The sequence below is a fragment of the Homo sapiens genome, chromosome 3, assembly GCF_000001405.40.
Source record: "Homo sapiens chromosome 3, GRCh38.p14 Primary Assembly".
NCBI classification, from domain to species: domain Eukaryota; kingdom Metazoa; phylum Chordata; class Mammalia; order Primates; family Hominidae; genus Homo; species Homo sapiens.
Window position 1 is genome coordinate 10,545,515 of NC_000003.12, and position 19,450 is coordinate 10,564,964.

Below are 19,450 nucleotides of genomic sequence, written 5' to 3' on the forward strand. Positions count from 1 at the left end.
CAAGAATCCATCTCAAAAAAAAAAAAATTAAATAAATAAAAAATAAAAACAAAACAAAATTTAAAAACCCAACCATTTTAAGAAAAGCAAAGAAATGGTCTGTTTCCTCTGGGATTGGACAGAAATTTGCAAAATTGGAATATGCAGTAATTGGGAATGCAGACATCATTTGATCATAAAGATGTTCATCATGGTGTTCTCTTATTGTTAGCGGTGGTTTTTTTAAATCATGGCAACAATTTGGACACAATCTAAATGTCAAGTCCTAGGGGATTAGTTAAGTACATTACTGAGGAGTCATAGGATAGAATATTAGGCATCTATCAAAAAACATGTTTTCAAGTAATTTTTATGACCTAGGAAAATATCTTAATAACCTCAAATAAAAAATGCAGAGTAGAGAACTGAAATGATATAGGGTCTCAATTCACACGATTCCAACAAGAAAATTACTATGGTTATGGTATGCAAAACAAGATATAAGGGGAAAGATACAGTATTCCCCAAATGTCAATGTTGGTGGGGTTAGGATGTTTGATTCTTAAACAAAATGTCTTCATTTTCCTCATTTTCTATAGTAAACGTGCATGGAAGAAACCATGTTAGTACGCACACAGGCACATGCATGCCGGAGGCCAGTTGTGCATGCAGCAGGCTCTCTGTGTGCCAGTCTCTCTTCCACACCCATCTCTCAGCCTCCCCAACTGCCCCCTGGAGCTGGGATTCTGCGCAATAAGACCCCATCTGCCTGACTCCAGCAGGAGGCAAGACAGGGAGGTAGCACGCTGAGAACCCTCTCCCCATATCCACTTCTTTACCACCTTCAGCCTCCCCTACAAATGATGCCTGTGTGTCCCCCTCACCCACCTTAGCCGGACACCTCCTTCCCTTGGGCCCACCCTGCCCAGCCCCTCTGTCCAGGGTTACCTACTCAGAACAAAGAAAGGGGCCTGTTCCCAGGACTTTGCCTGGTCCCGCCCCAGCTGCCAACCTCTCCACCCCGCTGGGGCCACTCAGCCCCTACATGGGGTGTGAAGGGGCTGCACCTTGGACAGCTCCATTCCAGACCCTGACTTGGGCCTGCAGGAACTCCTCCCTTCTGAGGTCCCTACCTTCCTATGGCCTCTTCTTCTCAGAGCTATAAATTAGCCCCCAAAGTCCCACCACCATATATTCATCTTCCTCTGAGAGGCCACTAGCCTGTCAAATTGATGAGGTACAACCTATTGATCTTGCAGCCTCCACTTTACAATGGGGAGACTGAGGCTCTTAGAGGAAGACCTCGTATCTGAGAGCACACAGCTAACGGTGATGAAGCCAGGATTTGAGCCCAGGCGGTGGGTCTTCCAAAGCCAATAGATTAATGCTGTCCCATCCTCCAGACCCTCCGCTGCCATCAGTGAGCACTGAGCATCTGCGCAATGTCCTCTCTGAGTCAAAAATAGACCCCAAGGCTCAGTTCTGCTGTGCCATCTGCCACACACCAACTCAGAGGCAAAAATGTTGACTTGCTGCAGAGACGAACACTCCAGCAGCCGGGAACTGAGCAGCGAGAGGCCCCTGTGCCCTCCGAGACTTTACTGGCTGGGGCAGGTCAATTGTATCGGTCTGGGGAGAGGAGAGCAGCTCGGGTCAAGGGCGGGGGCAAAGAGGCAGGCGGGTACAGCTCACAGTAGATGTAGGAAATAGCAGTGGGCTGGGACTCAGCGGCTCTGGTTGGGGCCCAGAACCGACTGCCACTGAGGCTGTGTGGCCTCAGGCAAGTCCTCTCTCCTCTTTAGGTCTCAGTTTCCCTGCTACAAGGGGTTGGAACATGAGTCCTTTCGGGCCTGGTAAAGTCATATTCTATGGTAGTAAGACACAGGGGGCTGTCTTCACATTCCTGGCCCTTGAGGATTTGACCACACGCAACAGGGAGAAAGGATTCTTAGAGAGAGGAAGTCGCTGGCCCACGGTCACACCTTTCCTAACAACAGCAACAACAGTAACGACAATGGTCGTATCTCCCGCTCCATAAGACACAGTTGGCTTACATTTCCCAAAGCACTCTTATGCCCATTATTCCACTCACTGTACCCATTTCACAGATGAGAAAACAGGCCCAGAGAGGGAGAGAGAGTTGCCTAAAGCCACACAGCTGGTCCGTGTCAGGGAAGACAGATCCTTGTTCTCATGCATCTGTTCCATGAAAGTTCTGAATATTAGTCCTCAGGGAGGCTGCAGGCATGGACTTTCCAAGTCCCTGTCTAGGGAAACTGAAGTCCCTTGTAAGGCAAAATCATCTTATGCCAAAGTGGAAGGGAATCTCCCCAGGAAATTTCTCAGTTTAGACATTTGCTGAACATGTTTCCTATGCTACAAAAATACTCACTGGGCATCCCAGCTGGACCATTTTCCCAACACCCTCCACATGTGTGACACCCCTTTCCATGGCATTTGGGAGGAGCACTGGGCAAGGAGTCTGGGCACTGCCTCTGTCATTTCTTATTCATCTTCTGTCCACCTGGTGGGGTCACAAACATTGGAGGGCTGGTCAAGCTCATGGCTGTGTCCCAGCACCTGACACTCAGCAGGACCACATCACCGTTTGTAGACTGGTGATGAGGTTCTAAGGAGTAGAGCCCAAAGGCATCTGTTTGTATCACACAGAGAGTGCTAGGAAAAGCCCCTGAAGGCTGCCACTCATAAGGGGCTTAATCTGTGCCAAAGACCATTCTCCAAGCTATATAGAAACGAACCCACTTAATCGTCATAGCAACACTAAGAGCTGGTGCAGAGATGCTGTTATTTCCTTGTCCACAATCCCACAGATCTAACCACCATGGGGCAAGCTGGTTTGATACCACACACAGCATCTGCCTGAGCATGTTCTTTGGTGAGCACATGCAACTCACCAACCCCAGCAGCTCTCAGCCAATGATTGACGGGTGTTGGGAGTTGGTGTATAGATAGTGTATAGATATCCCAGCTCTGTTCCCTCTCAGCTAATGATTGATGGGTGTTGGCAGTTGGTGTATAGATAGTGTATAGCTATCCCAGCTCCCTTCCCTCTCAGCTGGGAAAACCATGAGCTGTGGGTTTTACACTAGCTCCCAGATCCAGGTGCCCACAGTGATAATTAACTTGCTTGATAACACCTTGTTCCCTTTCCTGTCTCACTTCCCTACTCCCCTACCAGCATTCCCACGCCTCACAAATAAACTACTTGCACTTGAATCGTCATCTTATGATCTGCTTCTGGAAGAACCCAGTCTAAGGGAGGAAGGCACCAATATTATTCCCATTTTAGTGGGAAGAAAGCCAATGCTTAGAGTAGAGAAAATGACTTTCCCAGCGTAACATGGAAAGCTCATATTTGAACCCAGGCTTGTTTAGCCTCAGAGGTTTTGTTTTAATCATTACATATGCCAGGAAGATGGAACTAAGAGTGAGACTGAGCATCTAATGAGATAAATGACCAGGTCCATTCATTTATTCAAAGACTTTTTATTGAAATCAATTGCCTGTCAAGCCCCAAACTAAGTGCTGAGGGTACACTGATTAAATGCACTGGCTCTGGGATTGTGGGGATCAGGTTAAAACCATGTGCCAGCTGTGTGACATGGGTGAGTGACTCAACTTCTCCTATGAATCATGATTTGTTGTCTGTCAAATGGAGGTGCCTGAGCCATGTGGCTTCCTCCCCTGAGTTCTAGCATCACTAGGTAAGGTCAGATGCCCCTCCTCAGTGGCCCCCTTCCCTGTGCTGGCCTTTGTTCACCACCCTGTGCTGTACTGTTCACTTTTCTATCTTCCCTGGACTCTGAGAGCTCCCTGCAGGCAGAGTCTTTGTCACATCTGTCTCAGCACAGGGCTTGGCAGGGAGCACAGGGCAGGGGTTTGAGATGGTTGAGAAAAAGAAAGAAAATGTGCCTACCACACAGGTTCCTGGGAGAGCAAACAAGCTCATGCATATAAATAAGTGCTCAATGTGTGTTATCTGTAAGATGATGGCGACACTGGTGCTGAACATTGGAAAGTGAGAGGCAGCAGCAATACTAGCATGTCCTATCACTTAGGCCAGCCAGTGGTGAAATAAATCCGAATTGCAAAGAAGTTTAAAGTTTGCATTTTCCATACTTTTTATTCCTTTCTCTCTCCTTCCCTACCTCCCTCTCTCCTTTTCACTTCCTTTTCTGTTTTCTTTCTTTTTCTCAACCATCTCAAACCCCTGCCCTGTGCTCCCTGCCAGGCCCTGTGCTGGGACAGAAATGACAAAGACTCTGCCTGCAGGGAGCTCTCGGAGTCCAGGGAAGATAGAAAAGTGAAGAGTACAGCACAGGGTGGTGAACAATGGCCAGCACAGGGGAGGGGCCCACTGAGGGGCCCACTGAGGAGGGGCGTCTGACCTTACCTAGTGATGCTAGAACTCAGGGGAGCCACATGGCTCAGAGAGGTTAAGTCACCTGCTTAAGGCCACATAGCAAGAAAATGGCCTGACTCCAAATCCTATATATTTCTCATATCTTGCTATGGGATCACATTCTGTCAACAGCCCAAAGAAGCAATAATGACAATGACTTGTATCACATGACAGGTCTTGGGAACTTAGCCCAAGGGAGTCTCTTGTGGCTGGCTAGCTACAGAGAATAGAGCCTCTGAAATTTCAACAGAAAAAGCAAGTGAAGATCTGAGACCAATATGAAAGCAATAAGTGTTTACTACAGAGGCTGATAAGACATATTAATTTTTTTTCTGAAACCTAGAACGGAAGTAAATAGCAATAATGCAACAGAACAATTTCCTGAAGATCAGGACCATATTGGAATGTAGACAGAGTGTTTTACCTGGCCATGGAATAGTATTGGTTTCTTTTTCTTCAGTCTCCTCAAGATGAACTTAACTATATAATAAATTTTGATTTTTCCCTTTTTTATTTAGCATAGAAATAAACTTGATCCTAATATTATAGACCAGTTTTTTTTACACCCCAGAAAGCACATTTTTTGTCTATGTGATAGTTTTTTAAAAAGGTCTAGTGCCCTCTGAAGTACAGCTGCATCAAACATTTCTCCCTTCCAGCAGGACACATTCTCAATGCTCCAATGAAAGTCAACAGGAGTACAGGTTCTGATGCACAGAAATCCATTTCACGGGAACCCTGTCAAGTCTTAATGTATCCCTCCAGGATCCCAGGCTGCCTGGGCACCAGCTTCACACACTCCTCTGATTATAGCAAGGATCAATGTCACCCCGGTCTATGGAACGAGTTGCAGAAGAGTTTTAAATAGTAGGAAATCCATGCCGGGTGAGGTCATGGTGAAGGCGAAGGGGAAACATTCACAGTTGTTCTGGGAGAGACAGAAGCTGTTATGCACGGTCGCCAAGGCCTGGCTGCAAAGTAAACCCTCCAATCAGGCAGGTTGCTGGCAGGATACGGCCCGGCCTGCTGTTCCTGTGGCTGAATGGTACAGTCTGGTTTTACCCAACTTGGATCAGGCAAGTTTGAGGCTCAGACAGCACTGAGGCAGGTGGGAATGTGTGTGGAGACCTTCTGCTCCCTCTACTCTCATTTAGGTCTCTTTCTGGCCTGGGCGAATGTTTTACGAAGGGGACTCCAGCCAGAGACAGCAGGGCATACCAAGTCGCTCAAATAACTACACGTATTTTCTACTGCCCCCTTCTCCCAACACATAGCCTCCTGGAGCTCAGCTCCTATTCTTAAGGAGCTCATGGGACAGTTAGAGTACCTGATGGAGGAGTGATCAGTGAATTCAGTGGGGGAAAGATGAGAGACGCAGCCTGCAGTGAAGCAGGTAGTATGGCTTTAGGACCTGGCAAGGCAGTGGTGAATGGACGTGCCGATTATCAAGCCCACCATGGGCACAGATGGGGCCAAAGCGGCCAAGCTCAACGTCTCAGATGCGGATCTGTGATCACTGTCAGTGCTACTTGCAAGATACAATCCCTGATGCAGTTCCTTCCTCTGTAACACCCCACTAACACGCATGCATATTCCACAGCCCTGCTTTGGCAATGCAAAGTTTTGTATAAAGAAATATTTTGCTGTAAACATATTTCTATTCTAGGCTAACTCAGATTTAGAGATAGATTTTTCTTTCCTTTTAAGAAATCAAGAGTTCAAACCTTCAGCCCGGCAACTGTACACAATTGCTCACAATTATGTTTCATTCAAACAAGAACACAATGTATCAATCATATTTACCTGTTTTGGTCTGTCTCCAATTCCAAAAGCTACCTTGGTCTGCCAGTAAAGGGGAGTCACATCTGGGAATGTCCTGGCCATGTGACCCCAAGCATGTCTCACTTTCCCCATCTGTTGAAAAGGGGACTCTAGCTTCTTCCTGGGCTGTGGGAAGCAGGACATGAAGTCTAGGCTGGGCCAGCTCCCTAGGGCCCTCAGCAAATGGAAGTTGCGAACATTAACGCTGCTTTTGAACAATGCCAAGGTTGCATAAGAAATGTAGCCATGCCTATCATGGGGCTGGGTTTGGGCTTTCTGTAACACTGATTCCGAACAATGTCAAAAGTTGCATAAGGAACCTCACTGTGCCTATCCTGGGGCCCAGTTTTGGCTTTCTAGAGCTCGCCTGTGGCAGCATTTCTGCAGCCGGAGAGGGAACACCCTTCCCACGGCCGCCGCCTCGGTGCCGGTTGGTGACTCATAGCACTGGCGAGGGGCGTGGGCGGGAAACCACATAGGCATCACCATGGCATCTGACAGATTTGCCCCTGTGGAGCTACTCTGTAAAGAAAAGGGGAAGAGGGGGCCCTTCTCCTCCTGCAAGGTGAGTGGGGCACAGAGGGAACAGCTTTCGTCAGCCGAACCCCCTTGCTGCAACGTGGCTGGAAGCCAACCTTAGAGAAGGTGGCAGCGTCCTGCCTTCCGCCCAAAGTGAGTGCTGGCCTGGCTCCTGGGGTGAGGGAAAAATCCCATCTTGTGGGTGCTGCCCTCCATAGCTCCCTCTCACACAAACACGTTCAAAGTCTTCTCACATACTTAACATCAGAAAGGCAATCCAGAACCTCCCATTTGTGAGCAACAGCTATGTGCTGGGTTGGCTCCCCTCAGCACTGCTTTTATGTTATTTGCTTCCTTCCATCCTCAGGATGACTTGTTCTTATCTCCTCTTACAAATGAAGAAACTGAGGCTAGAAGTTGCCCGAGGCCACAGTGCTGCCCTGAGGCAGAGCTGGGGTTCCAACCAAGATGTGTTCCCTGTGCTCAAAAATGGGTCAGGAAATTTACAAATGGGTGTCTGTGGGCATGTGAGAAGCAGGTGAACTGGAGAACATCCAGGAAGTGCAACTGCTGAGGCCACAGACAGCTCAGGGCAGAAACACTCATTTTAGGCAGCTGTCACTTTCCAAAGGACTTTCTATGTGCTGTCTCATTTACTTTCCATAACAGTTCTATGAAGTGGGAGCTAACATCTCCATTTCGAAGGCAAGGAGGCAGAGATTGAATTGCTCCTCAAGGGCATCCAACTGCTCTGTCCTCTATGGCCTCCAGCCTCCAGTTCCCCATCTGTGCAATGGGAATATATTAAAATCACACCTTCAGATGATGTCAGGGTTAAATGAGGGAACATAACAGAAATGCTTTAGAAACTGCAAAATGCCACCGGAATTCTATGGAGTATTATTATTTACTAAAATAGCTTAGTGAAGACAACACAAATAAGTCTGAGAATTGCAAGGTTCTAGATTCAGACCTAGATTTCTGCAGAGTGTTTAAGCGGTGTTCTTTCCCGGACTGGAAGCTCCTGAAAGCAGGGACCACGTCTGGTTTGCCTCAGTTTCCTCAGCGCCCTGTTCCATGCCTGACACAGAGAGGGACCTTGAAAAAGCTAGGTGAAACTATTCAGGATTAATTCAGACTGGGAAAGAGGGTGGAGGGGAAGAACAATGGGATTGAGGGCTGGAAGTGGCCTTTTAGAGGTGGGTGACCAGAAGGTTGATGTTCCAACTCTTGAGAATGAAAACGCCTCTTTTAATAGTCTTGATAAAATGGAACTGTTCTGGGCCAGCAGGGACATACAGTCATACTACTTAAATATTTAGTACTTATTTAGTCTGATCCCCATGTTGTGGGGGAAACTGAGGCCCTCAGAGGATTGCAGAGCTGGGGGGGAAACCCAGGACTCCCTGCCCCTCCATAGGCCTGCTCTTGGAAGAGCCAGAGCAGCAGCTCGGAGTGGGTGGAGCTTGCTTTTAGTGCCTGCAGCTCTCTGGAAGGAACTGGGTGTTATCGAGATAATCCAAAGTTTCTGTTGGGTAAATATCAACACTTCTGGGCCCGTTACTAAGGGCCTGGGTGGTTGCTAAGCGGCCCTATGACCTCATGAGGGGGCCATTGTTTAGCACTCAATAGGCATCCTTGAGTGACATCCCCCAGCTCCCAAATCCCAGGGGCCCCTGGGGTTTTGTGAAAAGAAGCAAGAGATTATAATGAGCAGGAGCGGTACACAGACCCACGTTTGTTTTCTGGGGGTCTAGTGGGGCGGGGGTGGGGGCTGCAGCTTTTCAGAACAAGGCATAGGAAGGCATGAGGGCCCGGTGAGAGGCTGCCAGCTGCCATTGCTGGCAATAGAAATACCCCAGGAATAAAGAATTAACCCCATGTATGGCGCTTGACCCTTTGTAACCCACCTGAACACTCATCCTCTCACTTTGTTTTCAAAGCAGCCACACCATTTCACAGAAGAGAAAAAACTGGGTCCAAAAAGGGGAGACAGCTTGCCCAAGGCCTCTCAGAAATGTCTCAGTTTCCAGGTGTGGAAGGCAGAATAATGGCTGCACAAAGACACCCACATCCAAACCCCCAGAGCCTGTGAATATGTCAGCTTATGGCAAAGGGAAATGAGGGTGCAGATGGAGTGAAGGTGTCTCACCGCTGACTTTAAGACAGGGGAGATCACCCTGGATGATCTGGGTGGGCCAATGGAATACAAGGACCTTTAAAAGTGGAAAAGGGAGGCAGAAGATTCAGTGTCTGTGAATCAAGGAAATAGGCAGCCTCTAGAAGATGGAAAAGGCCCAGAGACAGATTCTTCTCCCCCGCAGCCTCCAGAAGGAATGTGGCTCTGCCTCGATTTCAGCCCGGTAGAGCTGTGTCAGACTTCTGACTACAGAACTGTCAGCTGATCAATTTTAAATCCCCTGGTCTATGGTTTTTTGTTACAGCAGCAATAGTAAGCTAATACACCACACTTAGAAATCTGCAATGCCTAAGCCAGAAGCAGGGCCTTGAAGATCACATTTAGCTTTTTGGAGTTCAGAAAACAGAAGGCCCAGGGGAATAAAATGATTTACTCAAGGTCCCAAAGCAAGTAACACAAACAGTGACAGGCACCTCTGGGTGTGGGTCAGACCTTGTTGAGGCTACTGAGGCCACCTGCCAGGGAGTTGGAACTTCTAGGCCCCTTCCCTGCCATTCTCTGCCAGCTGGCCTGATCAGGACCCCAGACCCCAAACCTATCCCCTCTGAACCTTTCTTGGGCACAGGCAGGTCAGAGGCCCATTATGTGACAGGCAGGAGGGTACTCTCCTCCTTTTCGCCCCTGCCAAGCACAGGCAGCCCAAAGCCTATGGCCTCAGTGCCTTTCTTTGAAAATGGGAATAGCACCTTCCACATCAAACGGCAAGGATAAAATGTGAGCACACAGTAGGTGCTCAATGCCTGCTCTTAGATTTCTCTCAGCCAGGCCCAGGCCCTGCTCTGTGTTTCACAGCAACTGGCTGTTTCCTCTCAGCCTTCTTTGGAATCTGAGGGCTTCATTCCCAGAAGGGCATTATCTCTGCCCAGCACACAGGAGTACAATGATTGCCTGTTGAATGGACCACAGGATTAACACCTATTATGCTTCTGTCTCCTCCCCTTCACCTAGAAAACTCCTATGTATCTGTCAAGGTCCAGAGCAAATGCTGCCTCCTCCGGGAAGCCTTCCCTGACCTCCCTGTGCAAGGTCACATTCATCTCTTTGTGCTGGGCTTCTGGCTTCCTTGTGGCACCTTGATGTTGGTGCTAAGGGCTCCAGCCATGGTGGCCAACACATCTGGGCTCCAATGCTCCAACACATCTCTGGCCCTGACAGAGTGATTCTTGACTAGTTATGCCTCTTCTCTGAGCTTTGTCTCTTCCCCTGTTGAATGGGAGGAATAGCAGCACCTCCATTGTGGGGCTGGTGGGGAGAAGCCCATAAGATGCTGTGTGGGAAGGGTTCCTTACAGGGTCCAGAGTGAGCATGCAGCAAAAGGCAGTGGCTGTTTTCACTAGAATGGCTGCTATCATCCCAGATGCCTGCATAGCTGGCCTGATTAGGACCCCAGAGCCCAGATCCCACCTTCTCTGTGGCTTTCTTTGTGAGAGACAGGTCAGAAGCCCTCTTATTTTATTTTGGAGATGGAGTCTTGCTCTGTCACCCAGGCTGGAGTGCAGTGGCACAATCTTGGCTCACTGCAACCTCTGCCTCCCGGGTTCAAGCAATTCTCTTGCCTCAGCCTCCTGAGTAGCTGGGATTACAGGCACCCACCACCACGCTTGGCTAACTTTTGTATTTTTAGTAGAGACGAGGGTTTCACCATGTTGACCAGGCTGGTCTCAAACTCCGGACCTGAAGTGATCTGCCCTCCTTGGCCTCCCAAAGTGCTGGGATTATAGGCGTGAGCCACTGTGCTTGGCCAGAAGCCCATTTTATGACAGGCAGTGCTCACGGAAAACCCAGGTTCTCCAGGCCAGGGATATGTCTGATTTGTCTATGTGACTGCTCTCAAATTTTTACTGAGCACCTAGTAGGTATTAGGCTCTCCACTAGCACTGGGGGGACAAGGGTGAACAAGGTCTCTGCTCCCTCGAGCTGTCTTTCTAGTGGTGGGGGAGACAAATGCTGAACAAACTAAACATTAAATAAAAATTGACTGTGTCAGGAGAGGATTGCCGTTGTGAAGCACAAGGCAGGGCGAGTGGCAAGTGACAGGAAGGGCTTCTGTCTTATAGAAGGGGGCAGGGAAAGCCTCTCTGAGGACGCGGCCTTAAGCACAGACTAGAGTGAGCAGCACAGATGTTTGGAGAAGAAGGCTCCTAAGGGAGGAGAAGAGCAAGGGCGAAACCCCTGAAGGTGGGGTGTGCCTGGCGTGTTTGAGAAACTGCAAGGACACCACATAGTGTGTGCTCAGAGAACAGATGCAGAACTGAAATGTTATTCTGTCATTTATATTGTTTTATTAAACTTTAATTACTCCTATTTATGTATTCTTTCTTATTTTATTAATAACAAACTCATATTCATTGAGCCTCTTTCACATATCTTGTCACTGAATTCTTACAGCAACCCTCTGGGGTGGGTACAATTGTCCCTATTTTGCAAGTGTGCAAAAGTGAGGCTCAGAGAGGTGAAGTGCTTTGCCCAAGGTCACATAGCTGGTAGGCAGCTAAGTCAGGATTTGAATCTCAGACTAGGCTATATTTCAGTTCATGCTTTTTTTCTTTCTCTCCAGACACCAGGCTGTGATGGTGGTGAAGCCCCCAGACTGTCCTGCCATGAGTCACTCTGAGTCCCGAGAAGTGGTTCCCTTCTCCCTCTCCTGGCTAGGTGTTTCTAATTGGCATCTCTGGCCTCCCAGCCTTGGTCTCTGCTCTGAGATGCAGAGGTAAATATGCAGCTTGGGCCCTGGGTGGCCACTGCGTTCTGGAAGGCACAGTTCCAGGGGCCCAGAAATGTCACCCACTGAGGAGATAAATGAAGATGCCAGAGAGTAGGCAGACGCTTGGGAAGTGTGAACTTTTGAGGACTTATAAAAAGTTCATCAGAAAAGTCAAGCTGCCGATGCTTTGCCAGATGGGCTTGGGTCTCTCACCGCCTTTGCGGCATCTGGGCTGCCTGGACGAAGCTAGATTCCCAGGGAGTTTGTGCCCCTGCTGCAGCATGATGGAAGGAGGCAGGAGAGCCTTCTGGTAGGAAAGCCGATGCAGGAAAGGTGGACAGAGCTCCTGGAGAGGTCTGGCTGGAGTGAGACCCAGGAGCTGGGGTTCCTAGAGGAGCAGGCACTGGAGCTGGCCTCTTGGGAACAGAGGAGAAACGGACTGGGCATTTAGGCAGGGACTGCAGGGCACAGTCACTGAGGGCTGAGTTCAGGGAAGGAAGAATGGTCTGAAGTGACTGGAGTGGGGCCTGTGTACCAGAGGGTACATTCTACACCATTATTCTGTTTTTATCTTTCACCCACTGTCATTTATCTCAGTACCTGGCAGGCATGGGTTTGAACTCCAGTCCGTGTGAGCCTGCAGTCCATGCTGTTGCTATACCATCCTGCTAAGAACAGGAAGGTGAGTCATCATGGTGGCAAGGACCAAGCTTATAGGGGAGGAGGGCAAACTCGAAGATCAAGTGGTGTGGCCAGGCATGCCTCCAGTGTGGGGATGCATCTTGGTCAGAGATGGTAGCATGAAGGCCCCTGGCCAGGCAGTGATACAGGGACATAATGTAGAAATAAGGCAAGACAAGGAAGGAGACGACAGGTCATCAGTAAGCTCCCAAGCAGACTGAAGTGTGCTTCTGGCATGTCCTCAGAACTTATTCTCCATATAGATGCCAGTGGGGCCTCTGCTGGCATTTACCTCCTTCTTTGGGTCAGAGCAGCTAGAACTGCCTTTGGGGAAATGCTCAACCCCCCAGCACCCGCACTCTCAGACTGTGAGGCTCTGATGGGGCTGACCCTGTTGGTGCTCCCAGGATGGGTATGATTCATCCCAGCCTTGACCAAACCAAGCTGTGTAGCCTCCAGCTAGTGACTGGTTCATGGAAGTGCACGTGGTCTGTGAGCCACTGAGAGGCAGCCCTAAGATCATTGCTAGGACTGCAGGGAATTAAGTGCTCCCTTCTCTTTTTCTGCTCGGTTGGCTAAGCTAGGAAGTCACCTAAAGCTTCTGAGAAGGTGGGAGGAGGGGGGCACTTTTACCACCACGCAAGGAGAGGATGTCTGAGGGTGAAGCCAGCATAAGGGAGTCAGGACTGAGAGATGGAGAGGAAGGGGTGAATACATTCTGGACATCTTCCCAGTCCCTGGATCCAGCTGTGCCTGAAGCCTGACCTCCTATGACTGTTCAGTTACTCAAGCCAATAAGTGGAATAATGGAAACCCCCAGTTTAACCCTTAAACCCCTTTGTGCTTAACCCAGTTTGAGATGCATTTGAGAGAAAGACTCCTAATGTCTACAGCTCATAGCCTTTTTGGAACAAGAAAGAAAGAACGGAACTCAGAAGCAAAATATGGAGAAAGATGGATGAGGGGAGAGCACGGAATAACAGCAGGAGAAGGAAAGGAAGACAGGAGAGGGGAGGGGAGGAAAGAGGAGAGGAGAGAACGAGTGAGGAGAGTAACAGAAGGTGGCCCTGCACCCTCCAGGAGTGAGGCCAGCTGCTCCTGTCACCTCCTCTGCTATTTATATACCTTGTGGCTCTCAACATAACCTCACACCTGTTATCCCTGCCCTTCAAACACTAATTTGTTTTCCAACATTTCAGAAATGCTTTTCTTCCCTAAGAAACACTCTCTGCTGATCCAGGCTCCTCAGTTTTGAAATGCAAGTCCCCCCAGGAGGGGTAGTAAGATGAACGATATTAACTGCTGATGGGTGTGATGCTTTCATTTACAAAGCATTTTCACACTTTATTTAAGCTTGGAGTGAGCTCGTGGAAGTAGAGAGTAAAACTGTGGCTATTAGAGGCTGGGAAATGTAGTGGGCGGGGAGGATGGGGAGAGGTTAGTTAATGGATAGGAGGAATAAGTTGTAGTGCTTTATAGCACTATCGGGTGAACATAGTTAACAATAACTTATTGCACATGTTCAAAAATCTGGAAGAGAGGATTTTGAATGTTCCCAACACAGAGAAATGATAAACGTTTGGGGCGATGGATATGCTAATTACCCTGATCTGCTCACTACACACGTATGGAAATACCACTCTGTACTCCATAAATATGTACAATTATTGTGTGTCCACTAAAAAGAAAAGGAAAAAAAAAACTAGTGAATTAGACAGGGAAGTCTTTAGGCCTATTTTACAGATGTAGATCCAGGGTACAGAGAGATGTGCTCAAGGTCACCCAGCCCAGGGTGCTGGAGTTTGCCTCCAAGCCCCCCGACTTCCAATCCCAGCTCTCTGAGAAGCTCTGGGAGTATGGAGATAATCTGCACAACTCATTGGCTCCTCAAGATTTATCTTGGGCTTGAGGTTTAAAGAACATCCAAGGAGACACAAGTTCCACCAGTGGTAACTCTGCACGTGTTCCTTCCGCGGGGAGCTCAGAATGAGTCCCGGGTATTCCATTTCCAGAGAGAAAACGATTTAAAGATGCAGAAGGCAGTTCAAATGCTAGGGCTAGCTGAACACTCTTTCAAGTTTCTACACTGAGTGATATGGTTTCTGTTTTGGGAGGAGTAAAGTTGCTCCGATTTTAAGGAGCTGCCAACACGAAAGATGCTGGCCTCTTGCAGCCTTTGATCACAGTGCATTTCACTCTGACTTCTCAAACCTTAACAGTTGGCCCAGACCCTTTCAAATCTAGCAGGCAATTAAATTTTCACAAAAAGAAGTAGAAACTCTGGGGATAATGAGATGGGAGCAACTCAAAGGCAGTCGCTGGGCTTCTGAACAAACCAGCGAAAGGCATCGTGTAGTAGCTGTCTTTTATAATGGCGTGTCGCAGGCAGGCCAGGGCGGGAAACCTCATGTGCTAGAGCTCCACAGTAGGAATGTTCCAAGCTTCTGATGACGGCTGGAGTCAGCCCAGGGCCTGTCCTCCCAGGACGGATGGAGCTCAGCAGATGTTCCTGGGAGGTGCGGCCAACCTGGGGTACCTCACTGAGGCTCTCACTCTGATGTAATCAGAACACCAAAGGAACATCCCCTCAGCTGGGCCGTCTTCTGAGAGCTGAAAAGCACTTCAAATGCCCCATAGCCCCAGCTGAGCCCCATCTTTCTCTCTAGTATGCTTCTCCCTCAGTCTTCCCCATCTTGGAATATGGCCCCACAGCTGGTCAGCCTGCTGCCTGGCTCCCATCAGCCCCTTGCCCCATTACCAAATCCTGTAGATTCTATATCTAGCACCTTGCACATCCTTCCCTCTGCTACCACCTCCTTTGCCAGCTCGCCATCCGCCTGAAGGAATGCAATACCCTCCACCTGGGTCTCCAGGACTGCCCCCTGTGATACACTCCCCAACAGAAGGGGCTTCTGGGGGCTGGATTCGAGCACATTGTAGCTTACATCCATTGACGGCCCTCCTGCAGTTAGATGAAATCCAAACCCCACACCTCTCCCCAGCCCCTCACAGCACCATCTCTTGTTCTCTAGGCTCCAGAGCATCTGTCCTTTTTCAGTGGCCCCAGTGCACAAGACTCGTTCCCACCCCAGGACCTATGTATGTACTACTCCTTCTGCCTGGAACACTCGTGCCCTGCTTTCTTCCAAGAAAATCCTTCCGATCATCCAGGTCACTGCTGAAGAATGACCTTCCATCACCCTCTAATCAAAAGCCACTCCCATTGTGCTCACATAGGGTTCTGTACAAGTCTCCCCTTGCACTTAGCCTGGAGTGGTCATTGTGTAGTTATCTGTGTGATGATGTAATTTCTGTCTTCTCCACCAGGCTGAGAGCTCCTGTGAGTAGAGAACATTTTTACTGTATACGATTACACCCTCAGAACCTAACACTGCACCTGGTATACAGACAGTGCTCAACTGATTGAATGAGTAATGGGAACAAGTCAGTGGATGTATGGACATATAGCCAGAGTGGGACGAGGTGGGGCACAGCTGCCTTTCATGAGACATGTGCTATGTTGCATGGCATCATACTGGTTAACCCCCCAGCGGTCCCCTGGCATTTAAATAAGTGAATCCCTGCAATGCCTGGCACAGGGGAGTGGATCAGAATGTGTCAGCTAGTATTATCATTATCCTCATTTTACAGATGAAGAAGTTGAGGCTCAGAGAGGTGAAGTGATTTGCCCAAGGTCACTGATAACGGTTTGGTTGTGTCCCCACCCAAATCTCATCTTGAATTGTAGCTCCCATAATTCCCATGTGTTGTGGGAGGGACCTAGTGGGAGATAACTGAATCATGGGGGCAGTTTCCCCCATACTGTTCTCACGGTAGTGAATAAGTCTCACAAGATCTGATGGTTTTATAAAGTGTTTCCCCTTTTGCTTGGCTTTCATTTTCTCTTGCCTGTCACCATGTGAGACGTGCCTTTTGCCTTCCGCCATGATTGTGAGGCTTCCCAGTCATGTGGAACTGTAAGTCCATTAAAACTCTTTCCTTTATAAATTACCCAGTCTCAGGTATGTCTTTATTAGCAGCATGAGAATAGGCTAGTACAGTCACAGAGCTAGCAAATCACAGTCAGGATTTGAACCCAGTCTGACTCTGCACTTAATATCTTGCCTCTCCAAGGGGCTGAAGAAGACCACCCAGCATCTCATGCAAAAGCTGTATCCCTTGTTCATTTTAGAACATGCCTCTGTGAGGAACTCGACAAGACAACGTTCCTGCTCTTAGAGGACTCAGAATGTGGATGAGGTCTGCTAGTATATGAACAGTTGTGACACTGCATCTGGGAGGTGCAGTGATTCTCTTGAGTGCCATGGGTGGGGAGAAAAGCCCTTATGGTAGAGAGATCAGATGAGCTGCACCTTCAGGTGCTTACCAGGGGCTAGAGGCAGTGAGGAGGGCTCCTCAGGCTGGCAGGACATCAAGAGGAGTCCCATGGCAGTCTGACTGGTACGAGGAGGAACAGTGAGTAGCTTGGTGTGGCTGAAGAGTTGGGCATGAGCTTGTGCGTGGGTGGGGGAGTTACTATTCTTAGTCTCCTAAGTGGTATGTTCTCAGAATGAGCTGCCCTCCAGGGGTGGGGCTTCTGCCTCATTTTCCCTCACTAGTCTATGGGTCTTCTCTTGCTGGGTCTTGGGGAAGGAGGGAAGACTCAGTGGGCAACAGCAGCTGGATATCTGATTCCCTGAATCACCCCTTTCCCTGACCCCTCACCTCCAGCGCCTTTCAATCTCTAGTCCTCCATCTCTTTTTAGGACCTCCACCCTGCCCAAACAGTCTTTTTCCTTCAGGAGGACTAGGAATTTTTGGACCTCAAGTTGATCATTGAATTGGTAGCAGTGTTATGTAAATATTCAAGAATTGGGCAAACATATGAGTACTAGAATATTCACTGCAACGTTGCTTATTAGAAAAATTGTAAACAACCTAAATGCCCATCAATGGGGATTCGTTAAATAAATTATGGAATACCCATCCTTATAATCTATGAGGAATATGATTTTCTTTGCATAAGGTGTGTTGCAATTATGTATGTATGTATAATCAATTTGGTTTTCCTCTTTGCTTTGGCTGCTAGGAAACTCAAAACCAAATTTAAAGCATACATGCTTTGAATGAACCTTCTTATGGTTCCATCCTATTTTCTACCATTATGTTCTGATTCCCTAGTTAATTTCTTTTCAACTTTGTCATATTGTATAAATAGGCTGACACAAGTCCTTTCTGTTTTTCCTTTTTTAAAAATTGATAGAGCAGTAATGATATAGGTAACTTATATTGAGGGTTGGCTGTATGCCAGGCACTGAGCCGGAACTTTGCATGTATTATTTCACCTGATTCTCACATTAAGCAATGAAGGAGACGCTATCAACACTGCTTTACAGATGAGGAAACTGAAGCCCAGAGGGGTTAAGTGACTTTTGCATGGTCACACTGCTGAGCAGTGGCTGGATCAGGAATAAAGCCCAGTTTCACCTGACCCTAGGAGCTAGCATCCTAACAACTCTTCCGCACTAACTCCTGGCAAATCAATAATCCAATTAGGCCACAACAAAACTGCTCTGACCCTCATTGGATGGGTAAACAGGATGTTATGTGGCTTTCCCCCTTCCACTCTCACAGGTGAGATGGTCAGGCATTGTTGGTTTGGGGTTGACGTGTAAGGTCTGAGAATCAGGGCTTCCTTGCACCTGGAGGGTGGGGAAGCCCAGAGGCTGGGTATCCAGCTCCCGCTACTTGCATCCTTTCTTTGCATCAGCTGCACAGTCTGACTACAGACAGGGCAAGACTGGGGCTGATGCTGTGGCTGCTGCCTCTGAGCACCCAGTACTGTGCAGCCCAGGCTTCTGAAAGAGGACAGGAAGTAAACTAGGCCAGTGTTCCAGCCACCTGACTATGAATATTTCATTTACTCTCTGAAAACAACTCTCAGAGGACAGTATTAGCATCCCCATTTTGCAGAAGAGGAAACTGAAGCCCAGAGAGGCTAAGCAACTTGTCAAAAACCACACAACTTTTGGTCCAAGAACACACAGCAACTTGTCCAAGAACACACAGTGGAGCCAGGTTTAGAACCAAGTCTGTTTATGCCTTAACTTCCCCACCTGTGGAACTCAGTTCCACCTTGTAACTACAGCAAACTAGCTCACACTTCTGACCATGTGTTTTCATGGGGCTGCCACTCCAGGAACTTACCCCAAGCCCTGGTGAGAAAGAAACTTCAGGGTACAACCAGATCCATTCTAGGTCTAGCCTTGGCTCTGAGGCTTAGAATCTCGATCTTGTCAGCTGAGTCTAGAGGACCTGTCTGTCAGAAAAAGACTCATATAACCAATCCCTTGGGGGCTGATCAATAATACCCATAGGCTGGCAGCAACCTTCTTCTGTTGCTGCTCACCTGGGCTGTCCTATTTGGCTTCAGCTCTTTTGTTCCCGGTGCAACCAATTCCCTGCATTAAATTTCTTCTGTTTGAAATACCTGGAGTGGATTCTATTTTCCTGATTGGCTCCCTGCCCCTCCATCCCTATTCTCCAGCTAAGTCTGCTCCACCGGTGGCTATTAAGCCAGCAGCTCCTCCCATCCTCCTCCCCAACAGTGGGGGCATGCTCCTTGCCAGAATTGTCTGCCTTTAGCTCAACCCTGGCTCCAGGCTGATCTTGTCTCCCCCTGTCTAAAACGTTCCCTTCCCCTCCCCTCTCCCCTACAGATTCTAGTGTGTATGACTTTTCATTTTGGAACTGTCCCAGGATGTCCCTGATCTCTTCCACTGTGAATTGATTTTGTGGCCAGAGCCTCCTAATTCTTAGAGGCCTTGCTACTCCTTTATGTGCCACTTACACACCCTTTAGGAATGATGGCAATGACACCTACCATTACTGGGCTTCTACCTTCTGCCAGCTGTGTGCTGCCAGGTGCTACAAGGACATGATCTCATTTTTTTCTGATGATAACTCTGCATCCCAACAATTCCCAGATAGGACAGATTTCCTATTGTTCTCTCAAATGCACTCTCCTACTCTCCCAGAGTAATTGAGAGTTGTCTGGGTACACGGCTGCTTAGATAGACCACATTTTCCAGCCTTCTCTGCAGCTAGGTGTAGCCATGTGACT

At 48.4% G+C, this 19,450-nt stretch overlaps 1 protein-coding gene across 7 annotated transcripts in view, besides 1 other annotated feature; it reads right to left on the bottom strand.

Moving 5' to 3' along the window:
• The window catches only part of ATP2B2 (ATPase plasma membrane Ca2+ transporting 2), a 384,094-nt gene that overhangs the window by 221,492 nt on the left and 143,152 nt on the right, over positions 1–19,450 (bottom strand). Inside the window, exon 1 of one of the 7 annotated variants that reach the window (XM_047448198.1) lies at positions 6,206–6,608. The exons of the other annotated variants lie outside the window; for them this stretch is intronic. The gene's annotated coding sequence lies outside the window, so the exon portion shown is untranslated. Of the gene's footprint in view, positions 1–6,205; positions 6,609–19,450 lie in introns of those variants that run through there. 7 annotated transcript variants of the gene reach the window in all.
• Positions 8,171–8,465: a silencer, noted in NCBI's record as "tiled region #781; HepG2 Repressive non-DNase unmatched - State 10:DNaseD". NCBI's record gives its function as "represses a minimal TATA promoter and a strong SV40 promoter by Sharpr-MPRA in HepG2 cells {active_cell/tissue: HepG2}" and the evidence as "EXISTENCE:reporter gene assay evidence [ECO:0000049][PMID:27701403]".